Source organism: Homo sapiens, chromosome 9 (genome assembly GCF_000001405.40).
Source record: "Homo sapiens chromosome 9, GRCh38.p14 Primary Assembly".
Taxonomy (NCBI): Eukaryota; Metazoa; Chordata; class Mammalia; order Primates; family Hominidae; genus Homo; species Homo sapiens.
Window position 1 is genome coordinate 96,444,803 of NC_000009.12, and position 18,994 is coordinate 96,463,796.

The 18,994-nt window shown below is 44.4% G+C and overlaps 1 protein-coding gene across 5 annotated transcripts in view, besides 4 other annotated features; it reads left to right on the forward strand.

Annotated features, from left to right (window-relative positions):
• Positions 4,785 to 4,864: an enhancer, noted in NCBI's record as "active region_28654". NCBI's record gives its function as "activates an Ori minimal core promoter by ATAC-STARR-seq in GM12878 lymphoblastoid cells {active_cell/tissue: GM12878}" and the evidence as "EXISTENCE:reporter gene assay evidence [ECO:0000049][PMID:35858748]".
• Positions 5,145 to 5,684: a silencer, noted in NCBI's record as "silent region_20083". NCBI's record gives its function as "represses an Ori minimal core promoter by ATAC-STARR-seq in GM12878 lymphoblastoid cells {active_cell/tissue: GM12878}" and the evidence as "EXISTENCE:reporter gene assay evidence [ECO:0000049][PMID:35858748]".
• Positions 5,300 to 18,994, forward strand: part of HABP4 (hyaluronan binding protein 4) — a 41,235-nt gene continuing 27,540 nt past the window's right edge. For 2 of the 5 annotated variants that reach the window (NM_014282.4, XM_047423006.1), the window contains exons 1-2: positions 5,367 to 5,826; positions 13,577 to 13,739. In NM_014282.4, the coding sequence (NP_055097.2) occupies positions 5,478 to 5,826; positions 13,577 to 13,739 (512 nt within the window). In that variant the 5' untranslated portion in view covers positions 5,367 to 5,477. The other 3 variants (XM_047423008.1, XM_047423007.1, XM_005251812.4) reach the window with 3 other exon arrangements.
• Positions 5,695 to 5,754: a silencer, noted in NCBI's record as "silent region_20084". NCBI's record gives its function as "represses an Ori minimal core promoter by ATAC-STARR-seq in GM12878 lymphoblastoid cells {active_cell/tissue: GM12878}" and the evidence as "EXISTENCE:reporter gene assay evidence [ECO:0000049][PMID:35858748]".
• Positions 5,835 to 5,884: a silencer, noted in NCBI's record as "silent region_20085". NCBI's record gives its function as "represses an Ori minimal core promoter by ATAC-STARR-seq in GM12878 lymphoblastoid cells {active_cell/tissue: GM12878}" and the evidence as "EXISTENCE:reporter gene assay evidence [ECO:0000049][PMID:35858748]".

An 18,994-nucleotide genomic window follows, 5' to 3' on the forward strand; every position in this document is an offset into this window, starting at 1 on the left:
CCTGAATAAAAGGCACTGAAGATGAAACCAGAGAGAAGGGAAGGAAGGGATTCAGAAATGAATTAGACACTATTTCTAACCTTAGGGAGGAGAAATAAGGACAAAGAACTATAATGCAGGCCAATAATCCAGTGTGACAAGAGGCACAGCAATACCACATTCATGCTCATCATCACATGCAAGGAATTCTGTTTGCTACCTGCCCAGCATCTATTCCTACCTGCTGGTTTAGAAACCTTATTTTCCTCAGGGAACCACCCCATCAACTCTCAGTTCCAGTGGTTCAGGGGGTGATGACTTCAATCAGACTCCAGCTTGGGCTGGTAATCAAGCCTGGATGATGAGAGAATTAAATGATCTTCAGTACAGCAACTGGGTTCAATGGTGTATGTGTGACCCAAGACATAGGCCCGTGATTCAATTCTGGGACTTCTGTGCATGCACTAAAGTCAAGTCGGCCAGGCATGGTGGCTCACGCCTGTAATCTCAGCACTTTGGGAGGCTGAGGCAGGTGGATCACCTGAGGTCAGGAGTTCGAGACCAGCCTGACCAACATGGTGAAACCCTGTCTCTACTAAAAATACAAAAATTAGCTGGATGTGGTGGTGCACACCTGTAATCCCAGCTACTGGGGAGGCTGAGGCAGGAGAATCACTTGAACCTGGGAGGTGGAGGTTAAAGTGAGCCAAGATTGCGCCACTGAACTCCAGCTGTGGCAATAGAGTGAGACTCCATCTCAATAAATGAATAAATAAAGTCAAGTTGGCCAGGCATGGTGGATCATGGCTGTAATCCCAACTCTTTGGGAAGCTGAGGCAAGCAAATTGCCTGAGCTCAGGAGTTCCAGGCTGGTCTGGAATTTCTGGAGCGAATCACTGTTCCTGGTAGATTTTTTTTTTTTTTATTGAGCCAACAAAGTCCTTGGTTTTACTTATTCCAGATGGGTTTTCTGTTGCTCACAACTTGAAGGATCTAGAATAAATGAGGAAATAAAAAGTTCTAAATCCCCAATTATTTATTTGGCCTTGATTAAAGTTACAACTAGAGATCAAACTTTTAATAGTAGGAATGGGAGAGAATAAAAATTTCTATTGGCACAATTGCTTTGAGTATACAAAGCACTAAGCTATCCAGTAACCTTTTGTCATAAGAAGGCAAGTTGGAAAGACCCTCAATGACACCAAGAATACAAATATTATTAGCAGGTTGGGGAAATTATTTCATGATTTAAACATTGTGTATCTGATCATCATGAATGGATTTCCGCTTGCTAGAAGTTCTTCTGGTGCATCCTGATTGTTAACTAATGGTTTATGGTTCTACAACTCCTGACTTTGAGCCTATGTACTTGCTACTTGCTTTATTCATTTGTTGTGGGAAACTGAATTTGAACTCACTTATCACCCTTAGAATAGTGAAACCAGGAACTATTATGTAACTTCATTGATCCTGTCATAATTGACTCAACTGGCATAAAAGATCAGATCCTCTTAGAGTTAGGAAAAATACTTTTGTTTTTGCATATATTATGCAAGTAGAAACAATTATAAAATAGTGAGATTTATTTTTACCTTTTTCAATTGACTTCTTTGGTCTTGTCTTCCATTCAACTATATGAAGAATGCAAGACAGGTTATAATCATCCTAACTTTAGGGACAAGAAAAAGGTAAGGAGAGAGAGAGCAGGAATTCAGCGGCAAAACAGAGCAGATTGAATGCAGTGCTTTGGTAATTAACAAGAACTCACATCCTCGCCAGCCTGACCTGGCCTCTCCTCCTTGGCTCTCACCCAGGTGTTGCTCCCTGCATGTAATTGAAAGTAATGAAGCTACATGTGTCTAAACTCTCAATTAATGGTTCTGTGAATTCCAAGTCAATCTGGAAGATGTTAGTGTATTTTATTATTCCTAATGGGACTCCTCTATTAAGTAATTCAAGGTAATTTACATCTTGTATACAGTTAAGTTTCACTGCATTTCCATTGGTGGTAATAAATAACCACTGGAATATATATAATAATCATGGAAGGGCTGGTAGTATTATTCAGCATCCACACTTCACAGCATTTTTGATGTGCTTTGTTTTTCCATGCTATAAGATGTGTGTTATTGTTTGGTATTATGATTACTAAAAGCTGTTTTCATATATCAGATTATGAAAAAGATCAGTCTATTAAACTGACCACATTAAACACAATGTGTGAATAACTTATGCTAATGTGGTAGAGTTGTATTTTAGGAATGCATTTAAGGATGCAATCTCCTAGAAGAAAAAACAATCAGTAAAAAATATGAGGGTGCTTAACCTTACTCTCAGTAAATTGTGCAGTAGTCAATAGCCCCGTAAGAAACTCATGGCCATGGCCGGGCACGGTGGCTCACACCTGTAATCCCAGCACTCTGGGAGGCTGAGGTGGACAGATCACTTGAGTTTGAGAGCAGCCTGACCAACGTGGTGAAACCCTGTCTCTGCCAAACACACACACACACACACACACACACACACACACACACACACACACAAAGAAAAAAAAGAAAAAAAAGAAACTTGTGGCCATCTAATACCAGGTAAGGATTACTCATCTCTATTTCAGTTCTAAAGATGTTCTGAATCCTGAAGCAACGAGAGTTGGTTCTCTTACAACCATTTGGGGCATTTGTGACTTGGAAATGAGGCGGCAGTGCTCACAGGGCATGCTTTAAGAACTTACAGTGGCTGGTTATGCTGTAAGGAAGATAAGAAGAAAACAGGGGAGCAGGCTAACTCCAGATGCCCAGTGGGAAGACGACAGGCCCTTCTCTCACATGATCATGATTCCTTGGTGTTGTGGTTTGGTGATGAGCAGTTTAAAGATACCAAAGATAACTTTAGCTTGAAGCAGTGCTTCTCAAAGTGTGGTCTCTGTTGCATGTAGTGATTCTGGTTCATTGAGATAAATTTACTATTTTTACTCTGGTTCATTAAGATAAATTTACTATTTTTACAAAAAATTTACTATTTTTACTAAATTTTACACAAAATTTACTATTTTTACAATTTTAAAGTGTACAACTCAGTGACATTTACTAAATTTACAATTTTGTGCAACCATCTCCACTATCTCGTTCCAGAACATTTCATCACCCCACAGGAAACTCCCATGCCCATTAAGCAGTTACTTTCCAACACTCCCAACCCCCACACCTGGTGACCACCAATCTGCTTTCTGTCTCTATAGATTCTGGACATTTCATATAAATGGAATCATACAACGTGTGGCCCTTTTTGTCCGTCTTTCACTTAGCACAATGTTTTCAAGTTTCATCCCTGTTGTAACAAGTATCAATACTTCCTTTTTGACCAAATAATATTTTTTGTACCACATTTTATTTATCCATTCATCGGGTGACATGTATATTATTTGTTTCTGTCTTTTGGCTATTGTGAATAGTGCTGCTATGAATACTCATGTACAAGTTTTGGTTTGAACACTTGCTTTTAATTCTTTTGGGTAGAAAGCGTAGGCATTAATCTTTGCTCACTCAAAAGGAGATGACCAAATATCTTAAATTCTTCAATCATTCAACAAATATTTACTGAAAACCTACTCTATAGCTGCTTAGAACGCCAAGCACTGGGAATACATACTGCAGTGAATAAGACAGGCATCATCCCTGTCCTCCTTGGGAATAACACAAAATTCAATAAGTGAGTAACACACAGACTTTACAGCATTTAGGATTAGGAATTCCTTTGCTATTAAGGAAAGTAAAAGCTGGTCACAGAGCACCTGGCAAGATGCTCTAACTGGATGCTTTCGGATGAAACAAGCAAACACAACTAAGCGCAATCACATCTGTCACCTTACATCATAAGCCTCAAGTAGGGAGGTTCCCAAGTGGGTCCAGTCGGCAGCTCAACCTCATCAAGGATCTAGCCTTTCTCTATCCTGCTCTGCCATCCTCATGGCCACGCTAAGGAACAGCCACCCGAGGCATCATGTCTTCTCATGGAACAAAGACCAGGGAACAGAAGGGGGGGAGATCCCTTCTCAATCCCTTGTTAGGTGCAAGAAAAACTTTCCCAGAATACTTCTCAGATCTGTTCTGCCCGATTTGCCCCACAGCCTATTCCTAAGCCAATTACTGGCAAGGAATTGGAATCAGGTGCAATGAATAATGTATGATTAATCAAGTTTGAGGCTGGAAGGGGCCCTCTTCCCCTGGGGAATATGATGCCTGAACAAAATACAGGCTCTGGAAAAATGTAAGAGGGAAAGAACGGCTGTAGGATAGGCAGCCAAGCGTGTCTCCACCGCTGCCTATGCAAAGATTTCCTGGAGGAAGTCCAGTCCGGCGTTCTCTAAGCTCCAGGCCTCAACTGAATATCTCAAAAGAAAACAAATATCCAAACCTCAACGTGTCCCAGACTGAATTAATGATTCCCGTTAAAGTAGTGTCTTCCAGTGGTAACTAATACTATCATTCAGATGCTGGAGCCAGGAAAATAAGAGTCACCGTATCTTCTTCTCCCTCATCACCACCTCTAGCGCATCACCAAGTCTTTGAATCCATCTACTCTCTTCGCCTCCACCGCCACCATCCTAATCCCAGTCACTATCAACTCTTCCCTGGAGCTTTGCAACAATCATGTTTGGCTTCCCAGCATCCATTTGTATTTCCCTCCAAACTATTAGTTCACAGTGCAGGTAGGGTGGCCTTTTCAAACCCAAATCTGCTCATGCTCAAAACTTGCTTCCCACTGCTCTTAGAATAGAGACCACTTTGAGCTTGAATAGGCTGTGCACATCCCACCTCAAGACTGCTGCACTTGCTGTTCCTCCTCCAACCCCTTGTCACCCCTCTCCCTCGGCTTAACTGTCATTTCCCAATTAGGTCAGATCCCTTTGCTGCAGCCCGTAGAGAGCTCTGCGCCTGTCCTTCAGGGCACTTTTTCTCCATCTACAGACTCAGATCTGTGACAACACGGAGCTAGTATTTCCTACAACATAATGCCTGGCACACGGTAAGTGCGCAATATGTAGCTGTTGCACGGCTAAATGTATACATAAGCTTCAAAGCAGAGTGGCCCATAGCAAATACGGTCGCAGTCCCGGGAGAAAGCACACACAGCCGAGACCCCACCGCTTCGTCGGCGCCGCCTGGACCAGCCAGTAGCTCCGCCCCTGGGCCCCGCCCCTCCCTGCTGAGCGAACGGGGCGGGGCCCAGAGGTCGCGTGACGTGACAGCAGCCGGTCGGTGATTGGGTCTCCAGGCGCGCCGTGTCGGAAAGGGGGCGCACCCGCGCGCGCTGACTGGCTGTCTGGCGCAGCGGGGCGGACGGCGGCGGCGCCGCGGGGGCGGGCGCCGGTAGGGGCCGGACAGGGTAGGGCCCGGAGGGCGGTGGCGGCGGAGCGGGCGGCATGGGTCCTGGCCGCCGGCTTCGCTGAGACGCGCTCGCGTGGGCTGCCCTCCCGGGCCCGCAGTGGTCGCGGCGGCATGAAGGGCGCTCTGGGGAGTCCCGTGGCTGCCGCTGGCGCCGCGATGCAGGAGAGTTTCGGCTGCGTGGTGGCCAACCGCTTCCATCAGCTGCTGGACGACGAGTCGGACCCGTTCGACATCCTGCGCGAGGCCGAGCGCCGGCGCCAGCAGCAGCTGCAGCGCAAGAGGCGCGACGAGGCGGCGGCGGCGGCCGGGGCCGGTCCCCGCGGCGGCAGGAGCCCAGCCGGGGCCTCGGGCCACAGAGCCGGCGCGGGCGGCCGGAGGGAGTCGCAGAAGGAGCGCAAGAGCCTCCCGGCGCCCGTCGCTCAGCGGCCCGATAGCCCCGGGGGCGGCCTGCAGGCGCCGGGTACGCGGGGACAGCGGGGTTAGCGGACCACGGCTCGGCCCGCTGTGAGACTGGGGTCCCGGGGGCCGGTTTCAGGAGGAGGGGCCCGGGAACAGTAGGGAGAGTTGAGGGTCCTGGTGGCCGCCGAAGGTAGGAGGAGAGGGGCAGGGGTCACACCCCTTCCAGCTCTCGCCAGCCTCGTGCGGGGCTCCGGGGGAAACGCTGGCTTGGGGTGGGATAGGGCCCTCGAACCCTGGCACTGAGGCTCTACGGCAAGTTGGACGAAGTTGAGGGAGGTTGTCTGGGTGGCGTGTGGGGGCGAACGGCTGAGGTCGCTACCCCGGGGCTCCCACATCCAGACCTGGCGGGGACCTTCATCTTCCAGCCCAGCCTCTGCAAGATTGAGGTCGGAGCCACCCGAGAGCGCGGTGGGGAGGAGGAGGGCGCCTGGTCCCGGGGCTGGGGGCCTCTGTGATGCCGGAGGCCTGGGCGACCGCGGGGCGGCCTGTGACGTCGGGGCCCGGGCGGGGGTCCCCGGCGCGGTCCGGCCTGGCGCCTTCGCCCCTTCTCCGTCCGGTAGCTTCCAGGAGGCAGCCGGCATCGTATTTCAGTACTTCGTGTGGTGTTGATGGGATGTGCAACTTATAAATAGCTCAAGGCTGCTTTAAGAAAAGCGTTTTTAACCTTTCCAGCAAGAATATTCGGAGTTCCCCACTCCCTATTTAGCAAGAAAAACCGGTGCGCAGCGTGGTGTCCTGCTGCCTGTGGACGGGGAGGGTGCTTCAGAGTTCATTCTCTCACCGAACTGCGTCAGTGGCAGAGCCAGCAACACTCCACCTGTGTTTCCTGTTTTCTTGAAATGAGGCAGCGGTCCCAAGGTTTGCAGAGTGTTAGGATTAAGATGTGTAGGTTGACCATTCCTGCCGACGTTTGCCAGTGTGTTCAACTTGGCTTTATTGGTTTGTTCCTTGCTTGATAAAAATTGTGCATCGCAGCCCTGAGGAAACGTCTCAGGTTTAAGTATTAGGGCTTTGATGTGCAGCTGGGTAATGTTTACCTTTATTTGTGAAAAGCTAAATCCAGAGTCATCACTTGAGAATCAAGTCACTACAATAAAGATGTTGAAAATGATTTTTAAAAAAATGTTATTTACTATCTCACGACACTTTGGTAGGCCAGTAAATTTCTGAGCCTATCTAAACAGTGAGACTGGAGATACATTGTGCATTTTATATCCTGTTTTTTATCTTTTTCTCTTAAACTTATTTACATCAATATAATAAAGGAATTGAGGAAGGCTAAGCTTTTCTTCACCCTTTATTTTTTAACAAATGAAAATGCCGGGTGTGGTGGCTCACGCCTGTAATCCCAGCAGTTTGGGAGTCCGAGGCGGGCGGATCACGAGGTTAGGAGATCGAGACCATCCTGGCTAACACGGTGAAATCCCGTCTCTATTACAAATACAAAAAATTAGTCGGGCGTGGTGGCGGGCACCTGTAGGTCCAGCTACTCGGGAGGCTGAGGCAGGAGAATGGCGTGAACCCAGGAGGCGGAGCTTGCAGTGAGCCGAGATCGAGCCACTGTACTCCAGTCTGGGAGAAAGAGCGAGACTCCGTCACAAAAAAAAAAAAAAAAAAATTCTGTGCTTCAGAAAAACGTGAGACGAGTTAGTGCTGTTAATACATTGATTTTTAGCCTTTTTAAAATTGTCATGCATTTTTGTGTTAAGAATTTTAAGCAATTCCAAAATGTATGAGGTTAAGTGAAAATCCTCTTATTTTTCCTACTAACACTTTGCATTTATATACATAAATGCACAGAGCTATTTCTTTTCTTTCTAAACTTAAATGATATAAACTGGGTTGCAACCTGTTTCCTGCACTTGATGTTGTCATGTAGTACACTCGTAACTTTTTTTTTCTGTCAGTTGTTAGGTCTAAGTGATCTGGCTTTTGAAATCAACTAAAGGTATTTAGTTGATTTTGTAGTTAGAACGGAAATTTTATCATTCAAGTTCTTTTTCAAGTATGTGTTATTTCAGGAGCAAACAGCTCATTAATTTCCATTTATGTAGTTACTGTACTAAATTTATCTATAATGGGTGTCAAGGAGCTATTCTCTCAAGGTTTTGTAACCCTAGTTGATAAGAAGCACTGTACTTTTCTAACATTCAAAATTTTTTATCTAGTTAGAATGTTGTAAGTGAATGCTTAGTGTAGACAAAAATAAAACATGTTTGACATATCATAGAAATGTTAATCCTGAAAGAATGTGGAAGTCACAAGCTTTTCCTATGGAAAAGGGTTTTTTTTTTTTTTTTTTTTTTTTTTTGAGACAGAGTCTTTTTTTTTGAGACAGGCTGGAGTGCAGTGGCATGATCTCGGTTCACTGCAACCTCTACCTCCTGGGTTCAAGCGATTCTCCTGCCTCAGCCTCCTTAGTAGCTGGCATTACAGGCATCTGCCACCATGCCCGGCTAATTTTTTTTTTTTTTTTTTTTTTGAGACAGAGTGCAGTGGCGGGATCTTGACTCACTGCAACCTCTGCCTCCCCGGTTCAAGCGATTCTCCTGCCTCAGCCTCCTGGGTAGCTGGGACTACAGGCATGCGCCACCATGCCCAGCTAATTTTTGTATATTTTTTAGTAGAGGCATGGGTTCACTATGTTCATGTTGGCCAGGATGGTCTCGATCTCTTGACCTCATGATCTGCTTGCCTTGGCCTCCCAAAGTGCTGGGATTACAGGTGTGAGCTACTGTGCCTGGCCTAATTTTTTATATTTTTAATAGAGATGGGGTTTCACCATGTTGTCCAGGCTGGTCTTGAACTCCTGACCTCAGGTGATCCGCCCGCCTCAGCCTCCCAAAGTGCTGGGATTACAGGCGTGAGCCATGATGCCTGGCCAAAAATGTAGGTTTTTAATGTCTGACTATCTGTCTAGCAATATGTATATAAACCCTTGGGTGAGCCTTGCTCAATAAGTTCATTCTTAAAGTCATGAGAGGCCGTTTCAGTTTTGCTTTTCCTAGCCTTTCAGAATTATGTTCTTTGAAACAAAGGTCAATTTTATTTTGTGGAAAATCTTACTGTAAATTTTATTGTATTCTGTTTCTTTACCTGGGCTTGGTTTAGATGATGATGAATGCATGTGCCAGCCTTTTCTTGGCGAGGTTAGTGAAATGCAGTGCTTGCATTCTCCACTTGGAGCTGCTGATCCAGCACAGAAAAACAAGCCCAATTCATGGCAGTGTTGATCTCTTAGTACTAAATTGTGGGGAAAAAATTGGATGCTGATTATCTTTGTTTTGGGAGAGTTGGGAAGGAGAACGAGATGTTTGCCCAAAACTGATCATTATTCTAATTATCTTTGTTTTGGGGGGTTTGGGAGGGAAAATGAAATGTTTGCTTGATATTGATAATTATTCTAATAAGTAGCCAATTGTATTTAACAGTTTTCAGTTTTATACTGTTGGAAAAGGCTTTAATATGGTGTACAGTAAATGTCCTATTTTAAGTTTGATGAATTCCAAATTTGACGCAATTAAAAAATAACTTGGAGGAAGCAGAAAGGTGGGATAAGCACCTATAAGTAATTCTGTAGTTGAGTGGAGATAATAAAAGATGTTTTTAAAACTATGGGTTGGAAATAGGAAATCTGAAACTATGTTAAAATAACTCTTTTTACGCTGGGGTAAAAGTATGGAAAAGTATTGTTACTGTTGACAAATTTTCTGATGACTGTTATGTCATGATCTGTTATAATTTTCAACTTGTTAGGTAATTAACTTTCTTAGTGGCTTTTTCTGCCTTACATTTTGAATGCCTTTTCCAGTTCTGAACTCTTTTTTTTTTTTTTTTTTTTGAGACGGAGTCTCGCTCTGTTGCCCAGGCTGAAGTGCAGTGGCACGATCTTGGCTCACTGCAAGCTCCACCTCCCGAGTTCAGCCATTCTCCTGCCTCAGCCTCCCCAGTAGCTGGGACTACAGACGCCCGCCACCACGCCTGGCTAATTTTTTGTATTTTTAGTAGAGACAGGGTTCACCGCGTCAGCCAGGATGGTCTCAATCTCCTGATCTTGTGATCTGCCCGCCTTGGACTCCCAAAGTGCTGGGATTACAGGCATGAGCCACCGCGCCTGGCCCCAGTTCTGAACTCTTAATAAAGCACGTGCCCCCAGATCTGATGTTGCACACTCCTAGGCAACCGGGCACAAGTGTCAGTCACAGTGGGGGCTGCGTGGTGGCTCACGCCTGTGATCCCAGCACTGGGAGGCTAGGCGGGAGGATCACTCGAGCTCTGGGGTTCAAGACCAGCCTGGGCAACAAAATGAGACCTGTCTCTACAAAAAAAAATTTTTTTTTTAATTAGCTGGGTGTGATGGTGCAGCCTGTAGTCCTGGCTATTTGAGAGGCTGAGGTGGGAGGATCAGTTGAGCCCCAGAAGTCAAGGCTGCAGTAAACTATGATCACACCACTGCAGTCCAGCCTGGGTGACAGAGACCCTGTCGAAAAAAAAGAAAAGTGTCATTATCTTGATATGTCTGCAATCAAAGCATAATACTCTGCTGGGTGCAGTGGCTTATGTGTGTAATCCCAGCACTTTGGCAGGTCGAGGCAGGTGGGTCACCTGAGGTCAGGAGTTCAAGACCAGCCTGGCCAACATGGTGAAACCCTGTCTGTAGTAAAAATACAGAAAATTACCTGAGCGTGGTGGCACAGGCCTGTAATCCCAGCTACCTGGGAGGCTGAGACTTGAGAATTGCTTGAACCTGGGTAACAGAGGTTGCAGTGAGCTGAGATTGTGCCACTGCACTCCAGCCTGGCAGTCTGGGTGACGGAGTGAGACTGTCTCAAAAAAAAAAAAAAAAAAAAAAGTGGCCAGGCACAGTGACTCACACCTGTAATCCCACTACTTTGGGAGGCTGAGGCGGGTGGATCACCTGAGGTCTGGAGTTCGAGACCAGCCTGGCCAACATGGTGAACCCCCATCTCTATTAAAACTACAAAAAAATGACCTGGGTGTGGTGGCAGGCACCTGTAATCCCAGCTACTCAGGAGGCCGAGGCAGTAGAATCACTTGAACCAGGGAGTTGGAGGTAGCAGTGAGCCGAGATGGTGCCATGGCAGTCCAGCCTGGGTGATAGAGTGAGACTTGGTCTAAAAAAAAAGGCAGGTGTAGTGGCTCATGCCTGTAATCCCAGCATTTTGGGAGGCCGAGACCGGTGGATCACTTGAGGTCAGGAGTTCGAGACCAGCCTGGCCAACATGGTGAAACCCCATCTCTACTAAAAATACAAAACTTAGCCCGGTATGGTGGCACATGTCTGTAATCCCAGCTACTTGGAAGGCCGAGGCAGGAGAAATGCTTTAACCTGGGAGGCGGAGGTTGCAGTGAGCCAAGATCACACCATTGTACTCCAGCCTGGGTGACAGAGCGAGACTCTGTCTCAAAAAATAAATAAATAAATAAATGAAACATTATGCTCCACTTATGATAACATCTTTCCCATATCCTAAACATATCACAAGCCTCAGATTATGACCTCACTACAGGATATGAATTGAATTTAAATATTTCTAGGTTATGGGAAATTAAAATTATAGTAGGTTGAATTTAGATCTGTTGTGCAGCTTTCACACTTGAAAAAAATACTTTAACAAGGAATAAATTATATAATTTTATGTTAGTGATGTCATAAACATCATTTTTGCTTTAAAATGAGACCGGTTAAGATTTACCTGTACCCAGATGATAAAGTTTTGGTAGAAAATATTAAATGGGAAAATAGAAAAGTGTGTATCTACATATATTCCTTAAGGTCTTATGTGTATCTAAGTGGGAGGGAAGTCTAATAGTTAAAAAATATAACTGTGGCCAAGGGCAGTGGCTCACGCCTGTAATCCCAGCACTTTGGGAGGCCGAGGTGAGCAGATCACGAGGTCAGGAGATTGAGACCATCCTGGGTAACACGGTGAAACCCCGTCTCTACTAAAAATACAAAAAATTAGCTGGGCGTGGTGGCGGGCGCCTATAGTCCCAGCTACTGGGGAGGCTGAGGCAGGAGAATGGCGTGAACCCGGGAGGCGGTGCTTGCAGTGAGCCGAGATGGCGCCGCTGTACTCCAGCCTGGGCAACAGAGCAAGACTCCATCTCAAAAAAAAAAAAAAAAAAAAAATATATATATATATATATATATATATATATATATATATATATCCATTAACTTGAATAAATGTCATAGCTATACAACTAATGTGGAGAGTAATTTGTACCAAGAAAAATTGAAGCCACTATAGTAAATATTGCACATAGTGAGAGGAGATCTTTTAAATGTATATAAAAAAAGATAGACTTTTTTTGAAGATTAAAGATGTGACAAAGTTCTCCACAATGTATTTACCAAGTATTAGATGGCTTCAAACATAGACTTTGCTTAAGATGTTTAAAGCATTAAAACTAAAGGGGAGTAAAGCAAGGTGACAGGACAGAGGAAAAGACCAGAGTCTCGGCCGGGCACGGTGGCTCACGCCTGTAATCCTGGCACTTTGGGAGGCTGAGGAGACCAGCCTGACCAGGTTAGAGAAACGTCGTCTCTACTGAAAATACAACATTAGCCAGGCGTGGTGGCGCAGGCCTGTGATCCCAGCTAATCTCTACCCGGGAGGCGGAGGTTGCAGTGAGCCGAGATCGGGCCATTGCACTCCAGCCTGGGCAACAAGAGTGAAACTCAGTCTCAAAAAAAAAACACAAGAACAAAACCAGAGTCTGTGGTCCCAGCACAGTGTCCAAGTGCTGGACTGAGTGGACAAAAAGAGATGCCCTCAAGTACTGGCTGACTCTTGGGCAAGTTGCCAAATAGCAGTGTTTGGTTCATATTCAGGAAGTTATAACTGCAAGTCTATATATCTCATAGAATAGCAGGAAAATCTGTTTTCAAAGTAAAAATATAAGCACTACAAACTTTAAAAACAAAAACCTTGGCCAGGCGCTGAGGCTCATGCCTGTAATCCCAGTGCTTCAGGAGGGTGAGGTGGGTGAATTGCTTGAAGCTGGGAGTTCGAGACCAGCCTGGCCAACATGGTGAAACCCTGTCTCTATTAAAAATACAAAAATTAGCTGGGCATGGTGGCACATGCCTGTAATTCCAGCATCTTGGGAGGCTGAGGCATGAGAATTGCTTGAGCCTGGGAGGCGGAGATTGCAGTGAGCCAAGATTAAACAGTGCACTGCACTTCGGGCTGGGTGACAGAGCAAGACTCTGTCTCAAAATAAGTAATTAAGTAAATAAATTAAAAAAATACAAAATAAAAACAAAAACCTTAGTAGCCAGTGATAAGCCATAGTTGCTATGTAATGTGCAGTTGGGATTCTAAAAGTACAGTCTGAAATATAGGGTATTCTTTCATTTTCTAGGTACGGCTTACACACTGTGTTTTTGTAAGACTGCTTTTGTGAACTGTAGCTTATTTAGTAAAATGTACCCATGGCTGTCACAGTTATTGGGAGATGCCTGTAATTATAGGTGAGCTTAGTTGGTCATATACTTTCTAGGATATAGGGAAAGCATGATTTAATAGTAACATCCTATTAAAAAGTAGACTGTGGGCAGTTGTAGTATCAGCAACTTTTTTCTTTGAAGTTTTCTAAACTTCCTGAATTCTCCTATGACGTTGATTTCTAGAAAAATGAAATTTACAAGTACCTGTAAAGTTTAATAGTGTGCTGTTGCAGATGTTGTGTTCCAGCTCTCTGCTTTGATTTTCTGTTGGTAGGCCAGAAGCGGACTCCTAGAAGAGGGGAGCAGCAAGGATGGAATGACAGCCGTGGGCCGGAGGGGATGCTCGAAAGAGCTGAGCGGAGATCCTACAGGGAATACCGACCCTATGAGACAGAGAGGCAGGCAGACTTCACAGCTGAGAAGTTTCCAGATGAAAAGTATGTGCTGCAGTCCTCAGCAGGGCGGGTGGGGAACCAGAAAGGTTTTGAGAAAATGCTACTTTCTTTTTCTTTTCTTTCTTTCTTTTTTTTTTTTTTTTGAGACAGTTTCGCTCTTGTCGCCCAGGCTGGAGTGCAATGGTGCGATCTCGGCTCACTGCAACCTCCGCTCCCGGGTTCAAGCAATTCTCCTGCCTCAGCCTCCCAAGTAGCTGGGATTACAGGCATGTGCCACCACGCCCGGCTAATTTTGTATTTTTAGTAGAGACGGGGTTTCTCCATGTTGGTCAGGCTAGTCTTGAACTCCCAACCTCAGGTGATCCACCTGCCTTGGCCTGCCAAAAGTGCTGGGATTACAGGAGTGAGCCACCATGCCCGGCCCAGAAAATACAACTTTCTACTGGCTACTGCTTTTTGTGGTACCAGTCCTAGGAATGTTTTACTAATTTATGTGCAATTCATGTTACCTTAGATGATGGGAAGGATCTTCCTTTTTCCTCATAGATGCCTTTACGTCTTGGTTCAGGAAATGATTGTACAATTAAAAATGAATTGCTTGTTGGTAACTGAAGAGCACTCTTAAAAAGAAATTACACAGGAGTGTGTTGAACTGGTTTTCTTTTGAAGTTCTAGATTAGAGATATAATTTTGGACTAGGGATATAATTATGGTTTTTGATTTCACATTACCAATTTAGACTGCTCAATGGATTGAAATAAATTCCTAGCTCCACGGTCAGGTCAGTAGGCTGCCATGATGAAATTTGAAGAAGAGTCTGTTATGATGTGTAATACCAATTTCTGGAGGGCATGGCTGCTCTCCGAAGTACTCTAACATGGACAGAAGTCGTGGGCTGGTGGAGTGTTGCGTCGCTGCTTAGTGATGTGGCAGCATGGTGGCCACCGCACTCCACCTCAACACGGGGAGGGGTTGTGTCTTATGTTTGGCACTTGCTGCTTAAAGTCTTTGTTTAATCATTAAACCTGTTTATGTTAAACAGAAACAAGTAGTGAATCACATTTCAAGGAAAATAAAGTTAAACAAGCTAAGGAAGACTAGAATAGTGAACAGTTATATGTCAAGGGAGCCATTTTTCCAAACTCTTTCTGCTTCTTGACTGCTAATTCCATTCCATTTAGGATTCTGGCTACAAGTTTTAACCAAAAAATGTGGCTTTGTAAAACTATACTATAGAGCCTATTAAAAACAAAACAAAACAAAAGTCCAGCAGAGAGTAACTTAGCCTGGGTGGGCTGAGCAGGTGATGACTCATGCAGAACTGTTCACCTGGAAGTTACACATTCAAGACATTGAGATAGTCTATCTGCAACCATGTTGGAGGGAGAAACTTACAGAAAGCCTTAATTTTGCACCTTTTTTGGTGATTACTTCAAATCTGCTGTGTAGTAAGCACAGTCTCCTTGTTTCTGCAAAGCTTCTTGTAGCAGAGCTGCTTATTTTTGGAAGCATTTGGGTATTTATTTTCCCCTCACTTTAGGGATTCTGTGGAAATGAGGAAATTATAGTTCACTTGCACAAACCCATGTTTCCCCCCTTTTTTAGTAGCAAGACTGTGTAGTCTTTAAAAAGGATAAAATAGATCTTTATATGTGACATGAAAAAATAGCTATTAAGTGAAATAATACATATATGGAAGAGTAAGGTGGGATATGGAATTATGGAGGGGTTTTTTAATTTAAATAAGGTCAGAATTACAGAAAAGTTTTAAGAATTATACGAAGAATTTCCATCTGCCCTTCGAGACCCCCCACATACTAACTGTTTACCACATTTGCTTTATCATTCATCCCCCACCACACCACACAGCCTTTCTTTGTTATTTGAGAATAAGGTGTAGGAATGTCCCCTTACTCCTAAATACTTTAAATGCATTTCCTAAAAACATGATACAATTTTCAAAGTCATTAAAATGAATACAATACTGTTACCTAATTCTCTAAATTACGGAGTCTACAGACTTTACTCAGATTTCACCAATTGTCCCAGTGATGTCTTTTCACAAAAGAGAAAACATTTCTGCTTCAGGATCCACTCCAGGCAAATGCATTGTATTTAGTCATCTTTAATTAGGAACAGCTCCTTAGCCTTCCTTTGTCCTTATGAATTTGACATGTTGTAGAGTATGAGCCAGTTATTTTATAACATGTCCCAGATTTTGAGTTTTTCTGATGTTTCCTCGTGGAATGAGGTTACGCACTTTTGGCAGGAATGCCACAGAAGTAATGTGTTCTCAGCGCATCGCAGTACAGATATGTAGGGGATTTTCACTTTCAGGGAAATCTGAATCTTGATATCAGAAAACATTTTCTTAGTTTCTTAAAAAATACCCTCAATAAATAATACTCTTAACTAATAATAAAAACACTCTTAATAAATAAAACATATAAAGTTTTATTTGTGACAAACTCACAAGCAAAAGGAAGGAAAATAACATTTGAGCCAAGCATCCTGCTTTATAGACTTGTGATTCACTGTCTTACAACAGTCCTAGCAAGTAGACATGATGCCTGTTTCACAAGTGGGAAGCCTGAAGCCCATGAAAGTATGAATGAGGAGTTCAGTGTGGATACCAAGTTTCAGTTTGAAAACATAAAAAGTTCTGGAGAAGAATGGTGATGATAGTTGCACAACAGTGTGAATGTACTTAATGCCACAGAACTGAACACTGAAAAATGATTAAAATGGTAAATGTTATGGTATGTATATTTTACCACAATTTGCTTAAAGCTTGTTAATAATGGGGGGAGGGTAAACATCTGAGGGATTTTTTTTTTCAGAACAGGAATTGATTTTAAATGACCAGTAAACTACAGAAAGGAAGAGCCAAAATTCATCTAGACAGAGGCAGACTAATCTCCTAATAGTCTGTTCTAAGAGTTCAGTTAAGTTTATTTGGAGCCTAAGGAAAAATTCCTACTGCATTAAAAACAGTAGTTTACTCCCAGAATATGTGCACCACATGATATAGCAGATCTCGGGGGCGGAGACATGCCCGTTAATCCCAGCGCCGTTTATGACATTGCTTCCGTGGGAAAACACGTTCTCTGCCTGGGTAGAATAGAAATCCATGGCAGCTGGCTGTGACAAGACTACTACACACATTGCTGAAACTCTGGGTCTGTTTTCTCATTGAAAAATGGAGAGGGCTGAATTTAGATAATCTTTCGAGATTATAAAGATTCTATAATTCTGTCCAATAAACATGTATAGGTATTAAAGAAACTCAAGGTGACACCCTTTTTCACTATCAGATGAGCAAAGATCAAATTTTATCATATTCAAGCTTGGGGAAAGTGCTATAAGAAATGCTCTTGGCGGCACAGTGGCTCATGCCTGTAATCCCAGCACTTTGGGGAGGCTGAGGCAGGCAGATCACCTGAGGTCAGGAGTTCAAGACCAGCCTGGCCAACATAGTGAATCCCCGCCTTATTAAAAATTCAAAAATTAGTGGGGTGCGCCTGTAATCCCAGCTACTCGGGAGGCTGAGGCAGGAGAATCGCTTGAACCCAGGAGGAAGAGGTTGCAGTGAGCCGAGATCATGCCACTGCAATCTATCCTGTGTGACATAGTGAGATTCTGTCTCAAAAAAAAAAAAAAAGAATTTGTAGGTTGGGCACAGTGGCTCTCACCTGAAATCCCAACACTTTGGGAGGCAGAGGCAGGCAGATCACCTGAGCTCAGGAATTCGATTCCAGCCTGGCCAACGTGGTGAAACCACATCTCTACTAAAAATACAAAATTAGCCGGATGTGGTGGCACACGCCTGTGATCCCAGCTAGTCTGGAGGCTGAGGCAGGATAATCGCTTGAACCTGGGAAGTGGAGGTTGCAGTGAGCCAAGATTGTGCCACGTCACTCCAGCCTGTGTGACAGATGAGACTCTGTCTCTAAAAAAAAAAAAAATTGCCAGGCGTGGTGGTGCACAGCTGTGATCTCAACCACTGAGGAGGCTGAGGCATGAGAATCACTTGATCTGGGAGTCAGAGGCTGCAGTGAGCTGAGATTGCACCACTTCACTCCAGCCTGGGAGACAGAACGAGACTCTGTCTCAAAAAAAAAAAAAAGAGAGAGAGTTTACTGTTGGCTGGGCACAGTGGCTTATACCCGTAGTCCTAGCACTTTGGGAGGCCTAGGTAGGCGGATCTCTTGAGCCCAGTAATTTGAGACCAACCTGGGCGACATGGTGAAACCCGCATCTCTACAAAGGGTAGTTAGCCGAGTGTGGTGGCACATGCCTGTAGTCTCAGCTGCTTGGGGGACTGACATGGGAAGATTGTTTGAGCCTGGGAGATCAAGGCTGCAGTGAGCAGTGATTGGGCCATTGCACTCCAGCTTGGGCAACAGAGTGAGATACTGTCTGAAAAAAAAAATTACTGTTACTTTTCTTTTGTTTTAGAACTGTACTTTAGATTTCTTTTTTTGCTCTGTTTCCCAGGCTGGAGTGCAGTGGCAGGATCTCGGCTCACTGCACTCCTGGGCTCAAGTAATCCTCCCACTTCAGCCTCCTGAGTAGCTGAGATTACCAGGCATGCACCACTATGCCTGGCTAATTTTTATATTTTTTAGTAGAGATGGGGTTTTGCCATGTTGCCCAAGCTAGTCTCGAACTCCTGGGCCCAAGCGATCCAACTGCGTTGGCCTCCCAAAGTTCTGGGATTGCAGGAGTGAGCCACCACTCCTAGCCTGCTTTAGTTTTTTTATTTTTATTTTTAAGACAAGGTCTCGCTTTGTTGCCCGGGCTGGAGTGCAGTGGTGCCATCTCGGCTCACTGCAACCTCTGCCTCCTGGGTTCAAGCGATTCTCCTGCTGCAGTCCCCCAAGTAGCTGAGATTACAGGCGTCCGCCACAACGGCCGGCTAATTTTTGTATTTTTAGTAGAGATGGGGTCTCACCATATTGGCCAGGCTGGTCTCAAACTCCTCACCTCAAGTGATCTGCCCGTCTCGGCTTCCCAAAGTGCTGGGATTACAGGCGTGAGCCACCGAGCCCAGCCTGCTTTAGATATTTGCTATAGTTTAGGATCAGGTTTTGCTTTAGATATTTGCTATAGTTTAGAATCAGGTTTTGGTTACAGGAGGTGGGAGACAGAAAAGCCAACTTGGAGAATTTATTTAAGTTGTGTTTCTTATAAGAGACTGGCATGACGTTAATGATCAGTACTTCTGTATTTCTTTATTTTTTGAGTAAGGAAGATTGCGAGTTTTGTATACTTTTACCCACTATTGTATAGCGGTT